Here is a 12492-nt window from a genome sequence, read left to right on the forward strand (position 1 = left end):
AGAGCAACAGAGACCCCACCTCGCCCCCTCCTGTCCCACGCTCTGCAGCCCCTCAGGAGACCTCCGGCCGCCCCCATCACAGCCCCACCCTGGCCAAAGCCCTCAGCTATGCCCCTGCACTGGAGCGGAAGGAAGCTCCAGAGTGGCACCAAGACAAAGCCTGTGGCCACACACCCGGTTGTGGAACCTGGAGGGCCGGTAGGTCCTCGGGGACAGGTTGTAGACGGCATAGTGCCCTGGGTGCTTGGAGTCCAGGAACAACCGCACATCTTCGATGTTGTTTTTGAGCGCTGACTCCACACCTTCTGCTGGGAATGACATCACTGAAACAAGCAGACCTGCGTCAGCACCTGGGAGATGCGCACCTCGTGGCCAGGCTGCTGCTGCGGCCTCGCTGCTCCTGACGCCCCCGGGCAAGCGCAGCCTCCGGCAGCTCCACCAGCCACTGCCCACACAGCCGGCCCCCTCACCCTCCGTGGACTCCCAGCCTGGGTGGACCTAGGAGCATGGACCCAGCCACACGCCCATCAGCCGGTGGCTGGGACTTCCTGAGACAGCTTTCTGACACCTGCCCTGTCTCCAGGTGTCGGGATGAGTGACTGGGATGCCTGGTGCACAGAGGCCCTGGTTTTCCACGGACACGGCCTTGTGTTGTTCCTGGCATGACCTCAGGGAGCCATGGGAGGCCAGGCTGGCGCTGACCCTGTCCACTGCTGCGCCTGGAGGTGCTGAGCACAGGCCGCCTGCCTGCCAAGGGGCCCCAGGTCACCCCTGTGAGTCTGTGGCCACAGAGAAGGCTGGAGCAGAGGCACCTGTGCCCTGACACACAACAGGGACTCACTGGGCACACAGGGAAGGGCCGGGGCGCGTCCCACAGCCTCATGTGGCACGCATACCTGCAATTCTGGATGTGATGTAAGATATGTCCAGGTCACCCTTTGCATAACTGGAATTAAAAAGAAGAGAACTTGGTTATGACAAGAAACACTCCGCAGTTAGGTCACAGGGCTTAAGCCAGAGCCCGAGGCCTGGAGAAGCCGTGGGGCTCTCACTGTAGAGGCCGCATCCCAGGAGGAACGTGTGTGTGCACAGGCGTGTGGGCAGCTTCCCGGCTGTGTGCGTGCTGTGGAGCTGACCCCTACATCAGAAACGGATGGAAATGACAGCCTGCAGCTGGTGGAGGCATGGGTGAGACAGGAGAGACATCCGCTGTCTGACTGCCCCTTCCCCTGCGCTCTCCAGGGAGGCACGGCCCAGGAGTGGGCTGGGAGAGGGATGGCAACACCGGTGGAAGGGGAGGGCTGGAGAGCAAGGGTGGCTTGGACGATGGTCACGGGTCATGCCAGGCTCCACGCGCTGCCCAGGCCTGGTGGTTGTAGCAGTGCGACTCCAGCAGACGCCGCTGGAGGCAGAGAGGGCCCCCTGCCCTGAGTGCCTAGAAGCCCCTGCTGTGGCCACAGCCAACTCTCTACAGACCAACTGCCCCCAACACTGGGTCCACGGAATCGGTAACACAGAGATCAAAACCCTCAATAACTCTGCAAGGACCCTGACAGGTTTATCCCACAATTCACTGGCAGCAGCAGCTGTGTAAGAATGGCCAAGCTGTTCTTGTGAGGGAAGGAGCAGAAGGGAGCCTCCCTCCCAGGACAGAGCAGGCCGGAGGCTGCGGGGACCAGAAAGGCTGGGCTAGGAGCAACCTCAGCTAGGCACATCGCAGAGGTGCTGTCCCCATCAGAGGAAAGCCTGGATAAAGGTCCAGAGAGATGAATGACCCAAATACACACGACCGAACCATCGCCTGAAAGTGACCATGCGTTCAAACGTTTTAAAAGCCGTCTAAACCCGCAGAGCAGGTGCTGACATAGGATGCGGGTCTTCCGTGCGTTCAAACGTTTTAAAAGCCGTCTAAACCCACCGAGCAGGTGCTGACTCAGGATGCGGGTCTTCCGTGCGTTCAAACGTTTTAAAAGGCGTCTAAACCCACCGAGCAGGTGCTGACACAGGATGCGGGTCTTCCAAAGCAACAAGGGAAGACGGGGAGGCACGGTGAGCCTGACGCTTGGCCACTTTTGCAGCAAGAGACAAACAGGCCACACAAAGCATGGCTACTGGACCTATAATCTAATCACCGGTAGAAAAACAAAAATAGGGGCCAGGTGCGGTGGCTCATGCCTGTAATCTCAGCACTTTGGGAGGCCGAGGCAGAGAGATCACCTGAGGTTGGGAGTTTGAGACCAGCCTGACCAACATGGTGAAACCCCCACTGCTCCTGTACCACGGCAGGCAGCGGCAAGCACAGCAAGCTGACACGCCTTAAGCAAAGGTGGGCATTGAGTGCCACAGGATCCACGCACATCTCACCCACCCCAGCAGCCCTGCGGGGGCCCCATGGACCTGGCTGTGTAGGCCTCAGGCACGTGTACCACAGGTGTGTGTGTGCTAGGGCTGCACCGGATGCTGACGGGACAGAAACCAGGGCCCAGACACAGGGCTCAGGCCCCGAGGCCCTGGCTTCAGAACAGCAAGCACCAGGGCAGCCAGGGGCTCATGGCCACCCAGGTCCTGACTCCTGGGCTTGTCCGTGGGGGAGAGCCAGAAGCACAAATGAATTCACTGTCCTTTTTTTTTTTTCATTTTTTAAATTGAGGCAGGGTCTTGCTCACTCCAGGCCAGAGTGCAGTGGCACAATCACAACTCACTGCAGCCTCAACCTCCTGGGCTCAAGCGATCCTCCCACCTCAGGCCCCAGTGTAGCTGGGACCACAGGTGCACGCCACCTCGCCCAGCTAATTTTTTATTTTTGTAGAGACAGGGTCTTGCTGTGTTGTTGTGTTGTCCAGGCTCGTCTCAATCTTCAAGTGATCCTCCCTCCTCGGCCCCCCGAAGTGCTGGGATTACACGAGCCACCGTGCCCAGCCATCTTTTGAGCCTCCAGGCCCAACCAGAACTCACTGTTGCTTCTAAGTCAACTTTACAAACACGAGGTTATGCAGCTTCATCTGCCTCAAGCACGTGATGTGAACAGAAGGCAGAGCAAAACAAACAGCAGGGCTGCCCTCAGCTGGAACCTGGGGGTGTCAGGAGGGTTCCCACCATCCCCTAACAAGCAGCAGCTAGCTGTGCCTGAGTGCCATGCAAGCAGCGCCTGCTCAAGCCAAACTGTGTCCTCCTAGGGCCTGGAACCCATGGGTCCCAGCAGAGCCATTTCTAGAACCAGCCCCTGCGGCCTTAGGCTTCCAGCAGACAGCAGCTCCCACCATCCCCACAGCTGCTGGGGAGGGAGCGTGGCCTGGAGTCCCCCAGGGAGGACTCTGGAGCTGTGCCCGGCTCCCTGAACGCCCCACATGCCTCCTCCCTCTGCTGACTCCACTCTGCCTGTCCCCACAATGTGCTGCGGCCATGGAGACCATTTTCACTGATGCCGAAAGTGACCGTTCCTAGTGACTTTCACTTATGGCTTTGCTGCCGCATCCTCTCTGTCTTGTTTCCACTCTGATCCCAACATCACTCTCACCAAGATGACGCTGGAGAGTCTCTCACCCCCCTGGGTCCATGGCTAGCCCTGCTGACGCTCCACACGCAGTGTCACCTGTCAGGACCCTGCAGGAGCCACAGCCCTGGGCCCAGTGGGCGGTGCGCTGGCACCAGACAGACAGAGCTGCCTCTGATCTTCTGTCAGCCACAACTCAGGCAGGAGGCGTCACAGAGGAGGTGCCCAGAGGTGCGAGTGGGCTCACGTCCTGCTCTGGGGATATGCAGGCCCACTAAGAGCAGGTTTCTTTCCAAAAGGTTGCACAAGGACAAGGCACACAGGTAATGGAACCACACAGCCAAACATGCAGCACACACAGAGGCACACAGCTCACACACACAGGCACTCACACAGCACTCCTACACATGCACGCGGCCCACACGCACTCACAGGCACACAGCTCACACACACAGGCGCTCGCACAGCACTCCTACACACGCTTACACATGCACGCGGCTCACACACATGCGTACACATGCACGCGGCTCACGCGCACACACGCGTACACATGCACGCGGCTCGCGCACTCACGCGTACACATGCACGCGGCTCACGCGCACTCACGTGTACACATGCACGCGGCTCACGCGCACTCACGTGTACACATGCACGCGGCTCACGCGCACTCACACGTGTACACATGCACGCGGCTCATGCTCACTCACAGGCACTCCTACGCATGCATACATGTGCACACAGCTCAGGCACAGGCACTCGCGCGCATGTGCACACATGCATGCGGCTCACATGCACTCACAGGCACTCGCACACATGCATACACATGCACGCAGCTCACGCACACAGGCACTTGTGTGCATGCGTACACATGCATGTGGCTCACACACACTTGCATGCGTGTGTACACATGCACGCAGCTCACGCACACTCACAGGCACTCCTACTCATGCGTACACATGCACGCGGCTCATACAGGCACTCGCGCGCATGCGTACACATGCATGCAGTTCACGTGCACTCACAGGCACTCGCACACGTGTACACATGCACACAGCTCACGCGCACTCACAAGCACTCCTACACATGCATACACATGCACACACGCATACATGCTCCAACATGCACATGTGCTCATACACGTGCCTGCACACAATACGAGCACTCAGCTCACACAAGGATTCACAAGCACAAGGACTCACAAGCACCAGCACACATGCTCATACCAGCAATCACACACGCCTATGCACATACTCACACCAGCATTTACACACACATGCACACATGTTCACATATGTATGTTAACACACCCATTCCCTCACATGCACACATGCTCAAAGACACATGCACCCACGCTCACATGTGCAGACGCTGCGGTACATGCAGGCACAAGTGCACACACGTCTACCTGGTGCTGGGGACACAAAACAGTGATCACAGCACAGAACAAAAAACATAAGAAAAAGCCCGAAGGTGTCGCCAGCTGTGGAAGGAACGTGGGCCCACCAGGGGCCGCAGTTCCTGCATCACGGGCACCAGTCCAGCCCAGCTCCTAGGCTGTTTCCTGACATAGCCGACGCCCTTGAGCTGGTGCGACCGCAGGGCCAGATGAGCAGCCAGCGTGCTCCTGGGCGTTCAGCTCCTCAGAAGAGCCAGCGCATGGACCCCGCAACGCAGAGGGGCCGCACTCTGGAACATTCCCAGTGTTCCGTGAGCAGAGGCTGCCGGGCCTGTGGGCCGATGTCGGGGCCACCCCCGCACAGACGCGCCCTTGGACAGCCCACCCAGAGGGAGACTTTCTCCCACCACAGGCTGGGACTCACCTGGTCTAAGTCTGAGTAACTAGGGCTTTAACTCAAGGACTGGCTCAGTGAGGCGCCACCACCGAGGTTTCACCCAATTTACAGAGTCCCGGGAACAAGCCAGGAACGCCCCAGAGTGAGGGGCGACATTGCAGCAAGGGAGGGGAGGGCCCAGGCATCTCCTCAGCAGGGCCTTGCCCCCCAGGCGATGAAAGGAAAGGGATCTGCCTGGCTCTGTGGGATGCTGGGCTCATTCCGACTCCCTGGGAGAAGCGGGTGATGCTGTCCCACTGCCTCAGGGGCCCCTGTGGGGCCTGATGACCAGCTGTTCCACCGCAGCCAGGAAGCAAGGGCCGGGGCTGCAGCCTGGAACGAGCGTGCGGCAGGTCCAGGGCTCTGGAGCCTCACACTCACTTAGCGACGGACTGGATGACCTTGGAGGAGGTGTCCTTGAGGTTGGTGAAGAGCCGCTCTGTCCCACCCCGCAGAATGTCCAGGAAGCCGCCATACGGCTGGTCGTACTCCGCCAGCGCCAGGCCTGCAGGGAGACACAGTCTCAGCAGGCCCCAGGTGCTCGGTCCCACCTCCCCAGGTGCGGGTTGCTGGCTGGGCCCAGGCCCCAGGCGCTCGGTCCCACCTCCCCAGGCGCTCGGTCCCACCTCCCCAGGTGCAGGTTGCTGGCTGGGCCCAGGCAGCAGGAGCAGGGAGTGGGTGGTATGGCCAGGCCCCTGACCCACACGTACCCAGCGGGAAGCCAGGCCTCAGCACTGGCAGGTCTACCCTGTCCTCAGCCTTTCCAGAGACCCAGGAAATGGTCAATCTGGGTGCGGAAGGGCTATGTGGCCGCCTCAGCACAGCTGGGGCTGGGACTCTGTCTGTGGGGATAGTCCGGCCTCACGGCCACAGCTTCAGGCCACCATGACCCTGGACGTGAAGGCAGAGTGGTGGCCCCTGGCCTGGTGGGTCCTGCGAGTGAGGTCTTCACAGGCGGCTTTGGTGGCACAAGTGGTGTTAAAAAAAAAACACCTGGCCAAAGTCCCTCATGCAGACAGGAGACCGAGGCCCAGGCAGCACCGAGCAGATGGGGGCACTGCAGAACCCAGCAGCTCGAGGACTCACCCTTCCTCCAGCCAGCAGAGACCCAGCCAGCCACTACACCTGCATGTGTGGGACCCACACTGCACGGACCGGGGTGCCCCAGACATGGAGCTGAGCTCCTCCCTGGGAAGCGGAGGTGAAGGACCCAGGTGAAACCTCCCACACCGCAGTGGGGATGCGGGGCGAGGTCGGGAGGGGTCAGCGCCATGCAGAGCTGCAGACCCAGCCGCTGCCTGTCAGGGCCATGTCCTCGACGGCTCACCCGGAACCTTCTGGAACACTCCCGGCACGGAGTTCCAAGAGCATGCAGCGTCTGTCTCCAGGGCCCTCTCCACTCCTCACCAGCTGAGGGCCCTCCAGGGACACCCAGGCCCATCACAGGTGCCCACTCCTCATGCGGCAGAAGGGGCCACCTCACACTAGCGGCAGAACTGTCTTCCCCCACCGCCCTCCACTGTCCAATGCCTGCTCCTGCCCCCTGGCCTCAGGGTCGCTACTGTAGTAAATGGTTCACCTTGCCCACAGCAGGCCTGGCCCTTCATTCCCAGCTCCTGGGAAGGAACCTGGGATGCCCCCTCCAGCCCCAAAAGGGGTGTCTGTTTCCCTGGGGCCTTGGGCTGTGCCAGACACGACAATGTGATCTATGCTGGGGTCTTGGCCACGGCGCAGGCTGCCTCCCACATAACCCCTGAGCGAGGCCGCCTGGTCACTCGGGCCCGGTCTCCTGGGCCCTGCCCTGGAGCCTCTTCCCTTGGCTGGCTTTAGTCCGAATCCTGACCCCCTCCTGAACTGCACCAAGACACCAGCTTTGCTGAGCTCTGTGAGCCCCAGGGAACTGCCGAACCTGAGGGTGTGCTCAGGGACCCTGACCTCACAGTCATCTCTGGTGGGAGAGGAGGCCCCGGGAGAGAAGGACCCCAGACTCCATCCCAATGTGCTGCGGGTGCCCGGGGTGCAGCAGGAGCGAGGGACAGGTGGCGGGCACAGGACAGGGCACTCACCTCCACTGTAGCCACTGCCAGCGGGGCCCACGGGAGGGGGTGGCCCTCGGGACAGTGTGGCGCTCCCGTAGCCTCCATTCTGCTCCAGGAGCTGTGACAATGAAAATGCAGAGGTCAGTTCTCTAAACTGACAACTCACGCCTGCCCACGTCGGGCAGAGGTACGGTATGGGTGCCCTCAGAGCCCATCCTTCTGCCCCCTGATCTATGACACAGTGCAAGGGAGGAACTTCCCACAGGCTGAAGCATCAGCTGGAACTCAACAAACGCACGCAGCCCTCATCCCCTCACCCCGCGGCCTGCCTCGCTTGGGGCTGTTGCAGGTGCTCAGCACTCCAGCCCAGCTTTTCAGACTCTTGGGCTACAGCTTCTGTTCCTTTTCCTTTTCTCTCTCTTCCCAGTCTGTCCAACCAACATTTTTTTTTTTTTTTTTGGTAGAGACAGAGTCTTGCTCTGTGACCCAGGCTGCAGTGCTGGAGGGCTGTGGCACGATCTCAGCTCACCGCAACCTCCGCCTCATGAGTTCAAGCAATTCTCCTGCCTCAGCCTCCCAGAGTAGCTGGGACTACAGGCATGCGCCACCACGCCTGGCTAATTTGTTTTGTATTTTAGTAGAGATGGGGTTTCACCACGTTGCCCAGGCTGGTCTTGAACTCCTGAGCTGAGGCAATTCGCCTGCCTCGGCTTCCCAAAGTGCTAGGATTACAGGCGTGAGCCACTGCACCCAGGCTTTTTTTCTTTTTTTTTTTTTTGAAACGGAGTCTCACTCTGTCTCCCAGGCTGGAGTGCAGTGGCATGATCTGGGCTCACTGCAGCCTCCACCTCGCATGCCCAACCATATTAAGCAGACACATGGCCTGTCTGTCCCAGGATGTTCCATCACTTCAGCTCCTGGGTTCTGGGGGCCACCCTGTGAGGCTCACTACCTCCTGGGGGCAGTATTTTATTTCATTGTGAACTCAGCTCCATCATGGACTGTGTTTTCTGGGGGAGTCGGTTGGCTTAAGCAGGGGTCTAACGTCTGTCCCCACGGGGTCCCGGCCTAGAAGCACTCAGATGAGAAGCACTGAGGACCCCGCCCCATCACTAGGGGCCTGATTCTGCCCATCTGCCCAGCGGCACCTCCTCCCGCCCCATCAAGAATCCCTCCAGCGCACTCGACAAAGCAAGAGGCCCACACCCCCCTGCGAGCCCACTGTCCTCTGTGACCTCCGGGGGAGTGGGCAGGCATTTTCTGTAAAGAGCCACCAAGCGAGGGGGACACGAGGCCCAGGCTGCTAAAGAGCAGGACGGCCCAGGAGTGATCCCTTCCTGCCGCTCTCTGACAGCCCCAGGGAAGCTTGCTGAGAGGCCACCAGTGACATCAACTCTCCCGCCTCAGAGCGCCCCACACCTCAAAATGCTTCCAGCACCCAGCACCAGGGCTCCCTCTGCTGGTGCACCCACCATGATGGCCGCCAGAGAGGGGCACCACAGCCTCTCCCCGTCTGCACTGGGCTTCCCAGCACTTCCCTGCTCCCAGGTCTCTGTACCCACGCGGCCCCCAAGGAACTGCAAACCCTCCACACAGCCCAAACCTTCCTTGTCCCACAGGGTCCTGTCCTCAGACAGGGACTCCGGGCAGCAGCTCTGACCTTCTCCCCACGCTCCACACCCACCGCCTGGGTCAGCTCCACTGCAGTGGCCCCTGGAAGTTCCGGCTTCCAGCTACCAGGGAGTGGAAACGACCCAAGGGCTGAAAAGGGGACAAAATGCAGGAGCCAAGAGTCCTGGGTCCTTGGACACAGACCCCTGCGAGATCTGCAGAGGGGCCCTGCGTGTCCTGACTGGGCCCTGAGCTGGGATGCCCAGGGGCCTCCCTGCTCCCCGTGGGTGAGGGCCGGGCCGCGTGTCTGCTCTGCCTCGAGGATCTGGTGATGGAGATGCTGCACCCTGTCCACGGCTGGGTCAGAAAAGACTCTGAGGAAAGCATCTTCCAGCCAACACGTGCTGCTCCCTCCCAGGCCTCACACTTCCACAAAGCACACGGCCCTGTGGGCCTCAGTCTCCCAGCCCCCAGGCCCTGATGCTGCCAGCAGCCACCGGTGCCTGGGAGTGGACCCTGGCCAGGCCCAGCCCTGACACAACTGCAACCAGGACGCCCAGAGCTGAGCTGAGGGTCAGAAACACAGACGCAGAGCAACTCAGGACACCCCAGGACGCCCAGAGCTGAGGGCTGGCTGACCTGGCTTGGACACCAGACCCCAGAAACAAAGACACAGGAGCAATTCATGCTGTCCTGTCAGGGGAAGAATCTAGAAAGGCGCCTGCAAACCTCAAGGAGGCCAGAGGAGCGCGTGCAGAGTGCGAAGACCTTGGCAATGGTCCCAGCATGCCCCCGGGGTCTCGGCCCTGGGCTGCGGTGGTGACCCTGCTCCTGCAGGAGCCCAGGGCCCTCAAGAGCTTGTGGCTCCCCACTGAAGTGGGCAGAGACCCCCAGGGTGCAGGGTCCGGACGAAGCAGCACAGCCACATGCCACCCTCCTCTCTGTGGGGGGATTTGGGGCTCACATGTGCCTCCCTCCCCTCTGTGATAGGAAACTTGGGGTTCAGGTGTGCCTCCCGCCCCTCTGTGATAGGAGACTTGGGGTTCACATGTGCCTCCCTCCCCTCTGCGGGGGATCTGGGGCTCACGTGTGCCTCCCTCCCCTCTGTGATAGGAGACTTAGGGTTCACGTGTGCCTCCCTCCCTTCTGCAGGGGATCTGGGGCTCACATGTGCCTCCCTCCCCTCTGCGGGGGATCTGGGGCTCATGTGTGCCTCCTTCACCACTGCGGGGGATTTGGGGCTCACGTGTGCCTCCCTCACCTCTGTGATGGGAGACTTGGGGTTCACGTTGCGGGCGGCCGCGATCTCCTGCAGCTGGTGCACCACCTCGGCGATGGACAGCCGCTCCTCCGGGTTCACCTGCAGCATGGCGCCTGCAGCAGAAGCACAGCGCGCTCGGCCCCACGGTTCCCCAGGCGGGTCAGCACCCCCTGCACTGGCAGAGGTCACAGACCACCAGAGGCCACTCCCTCTACACACATCAGTGACGTCAGAAGCAAGAAGGGAGCGGCAAAGGGAAGAACAAAAACCGAACAAAATGATCAAAAATCACCACTCAGAGCACCGCAAATTCACCAGCGGGGTGGGCGGCAGGGGAGCTCTCTGGAAACCCCCCCCCCAGGGATGTTGTCAAAACTATGGTGACGGGCGGGAGTGGGGCCAGGTGAGCAGTGCCCCAAGGGGAGCGGGGTCTCCAGAGCCACGCGGGGTCTGTGCTCCAGGGTCCTGCCCCACGCACGCATTCCACCGGGACTTACGGATGAGGCTGTGGAAGACCGTGTACTGCGTGTCGTGCGGGGGGATCGAGTACTTCCCATTGACTATTCGAAGTTTCGCTCCATCCTCAAAAGGGTGCTGCCGGAAGCACAGCAGGTACAAGATGCAGCCCAGGGCCTGCGGGGAGAGCAGGGGTGATGCCTAGGCCCACGGGGAGCGCAGGGGTGACGCCTGGGCCTGCGGGGAGAGCAGGGGTGATGCCCAGGCCCACGGGGAATGCAGGGGTGACATCGGAGCCGTGGGGAGCGCAGGGGTGACACTGGGGACTGCAGGGAACACAGGGGTGATATCGGGAACATGGGAAATGCAGGGGTGACACCGGGGCCTGCGGGAACAACAGGGGTGACACCCGGGCCGCGGGGAGCGCAGGGGTGACGTTGGGGCCGTGGGGAGCGCAGGGGTGACGCCTGGGCCTGTGGGGAGTGCAGGGGTGACACCCAGGCCTGCGGGGAATGCAGGGGTGACGTCGGAGCCGTGGGGAGCGCAGGGGTGACTCCTGGGCCTGCGGGGAGTGCAGGGGTGACTCCCAGGTCTGAGGGGAGAGCAGGGGTGATGCCCGAGCCCAAGGGGACAAGGGCGTGAGAGGAGCACCGCAGACATGGTGACTGGCCGAGGGGTGGCTCCTTCCTTGGGGATCCTAGGGGTATAGTCGGTGGTTACACAAACATCACTTGACTGTGCGGAGCTGGCGGCGTGCTTCCCACGGCACGGGGAGGCCTGGATGCTCCACTTCTATTCACCGCAAAGAACTGTCCAGGTGACAGTGTTAAACGGACTCTAGGCTCTTAAGATTAAAAAGTTCCGTTCAGGCCGGGCGCAGTGGCTCACGCCTGTAATCCCAGCACTTTGGGAGGCCGAGGCGGGTGGATGACAAGGTCAGGAGTTCAAGACCAGCCTGGCCAACATGGTGAAATCCCGTCTCTACTAAAAATACAAAAATTAGCCAGGCGTGGTGGTGCATGCCTGTAGTCCCAGCTACTCAGGAGGCTGAGGCAAAGAACTGCTTGAACCCGGGAGGCAGAGGTTGCAGTGCGCCGAGATCGCGCCACTGCCCTCCAGCCTAGCAACAAAGCGAGACTCTGTCTCAAATAAATAAATAAATAAATAAATAAATAAATAAATAAAGGTTCCTTTCAAAATTCCGGGGTTCCCACACTCATGCACTGAAGATCTATGAGCTGGTGGGACCAGCACAGACCCTGCTGTGTGCTATGCGAGGGGCAAGGCACCTGTCCTGTCCTTGGCAACAGCAGAGACCCACTTTTCAGAACTGACCCCATATGCAGGGTGTAGGGCACAGGGCAGAAGCTGCAGGAAGCAGCCTCCTCAGTCTGCTCAGGATTTTCGCAGAACTGGCCTTGAACAATCAGCGACTTCTCGTCAATCACCCAATATGTGAGCCCAGAGAAGGGACTGGTGATTACTTCGGCATCAGGATCTTATCCAGCCAAGAGTAAGAGCTCACACCGGGACCCCAGGCCGAGCAAGAGCCGGCCAGGAGTGTCCTCGTGCGGGATGTGCAGAGGACCAGTCACCAGGGTGGGCCAAGAACACAGGCAATGACCACACACGTGGCCCCATCCTTCCACACTCCTCAAGGGACACAGGGCCTCAGCCTACAGCCCACATACTGTCTCAGCCTGCAGCCCCACGTGCTGTCTCAGCCTTCAGCCCATGTGCTGTGGCTGATGGCACGGCTGACCCGGTCCGTAGGCAAATACACTACGGAGGGCCAACTGC

The 12492-nt window shown here is 60.7% G+C and overlaps 1 protein-coding gene across 48 annotated transcripts in view, besides 2 other annotated features; it reads right to left on the bottom strand.

Moving 5' to 3' along the window:
• The window catches only part of GAK (cyclin G associated kinase), an 83040-nt gene that overhangs the window by 33864 nt on the left and 36684 nt on the right, over positions 1-12492 (bottom strand). For all 48 annotated transcript variants that reach the window (XM_047450032.1, XM_047450022.1, XM_047450019.1 and 45 more), the window contains 6 exons: positions 10734-10869; positions 10237-10349; positions 7392-7482; positions 5707-5830; positions 897-946; positions 175-323 (listed from right to left, as the gene is read on the bottom strand). In XM_047450032.1, coding sequence (XP_047305988.1) covers positions 175-323; positions 897-946; positions 5707-5830; positions 7392-7482; positions 10237-10349; positions 10734-10869 — 663 coding nt within the window. The remainder of the gene's footprint in view (positions 1-174; positions 324-896; positions 947-5706; positions 5831-7391; positions 7483-10236; positions 10350-10733; positions 10870-12492) is intronic.
• Positions 3665-4166: an enhancer, noted in NCBI's record as "H3K4me1 hESC enhancer chr4:880593-881094 (GRCh37/hg19 assembly coordinates)". NCBI's record gives its function as "activates a minimal SCP1, AML or CMV promoter by ChIP-STARR-seq in naive H9 embryonic stem cells {active_cell/tissue: H9 hESC(naive)}" and the evidence as "EXISTENCE:reporter gene assay evidence [ECO:0000049][PMID:30033119]".
• Positions 4167-4666: an enhancer, noted in NCBI's record as "H3K4me1 hESC enhancer chr4:881095-881594 (GRCh37/hg19 assembly coordinates)". NCBI's record gives its function as "activates a minimal SCP1, AML or CMV promoter by ChIP-STARR-seq in naive H9 embryonic stem cells {active_cell/tissue: H9 hESC(naive)}" and the evidence as "EXISTENCE:reporter gene assay evidence [ECO:0000049][PMID:30033119]".

This window comes from Homo sapiens, chromosome 4 (assembly GCF_000001405.40).
Source record: "Homo sapiens chromosome 4, GRCh38.p14 Primary Assembly".
In the NCBI taxonomy this organism is placed as follows: domain Eukaryota; kingdom Metazoa; phylum Chordata; class Mammalia; order Primates; family Hominidae; genus Homo; species Homo sapiens.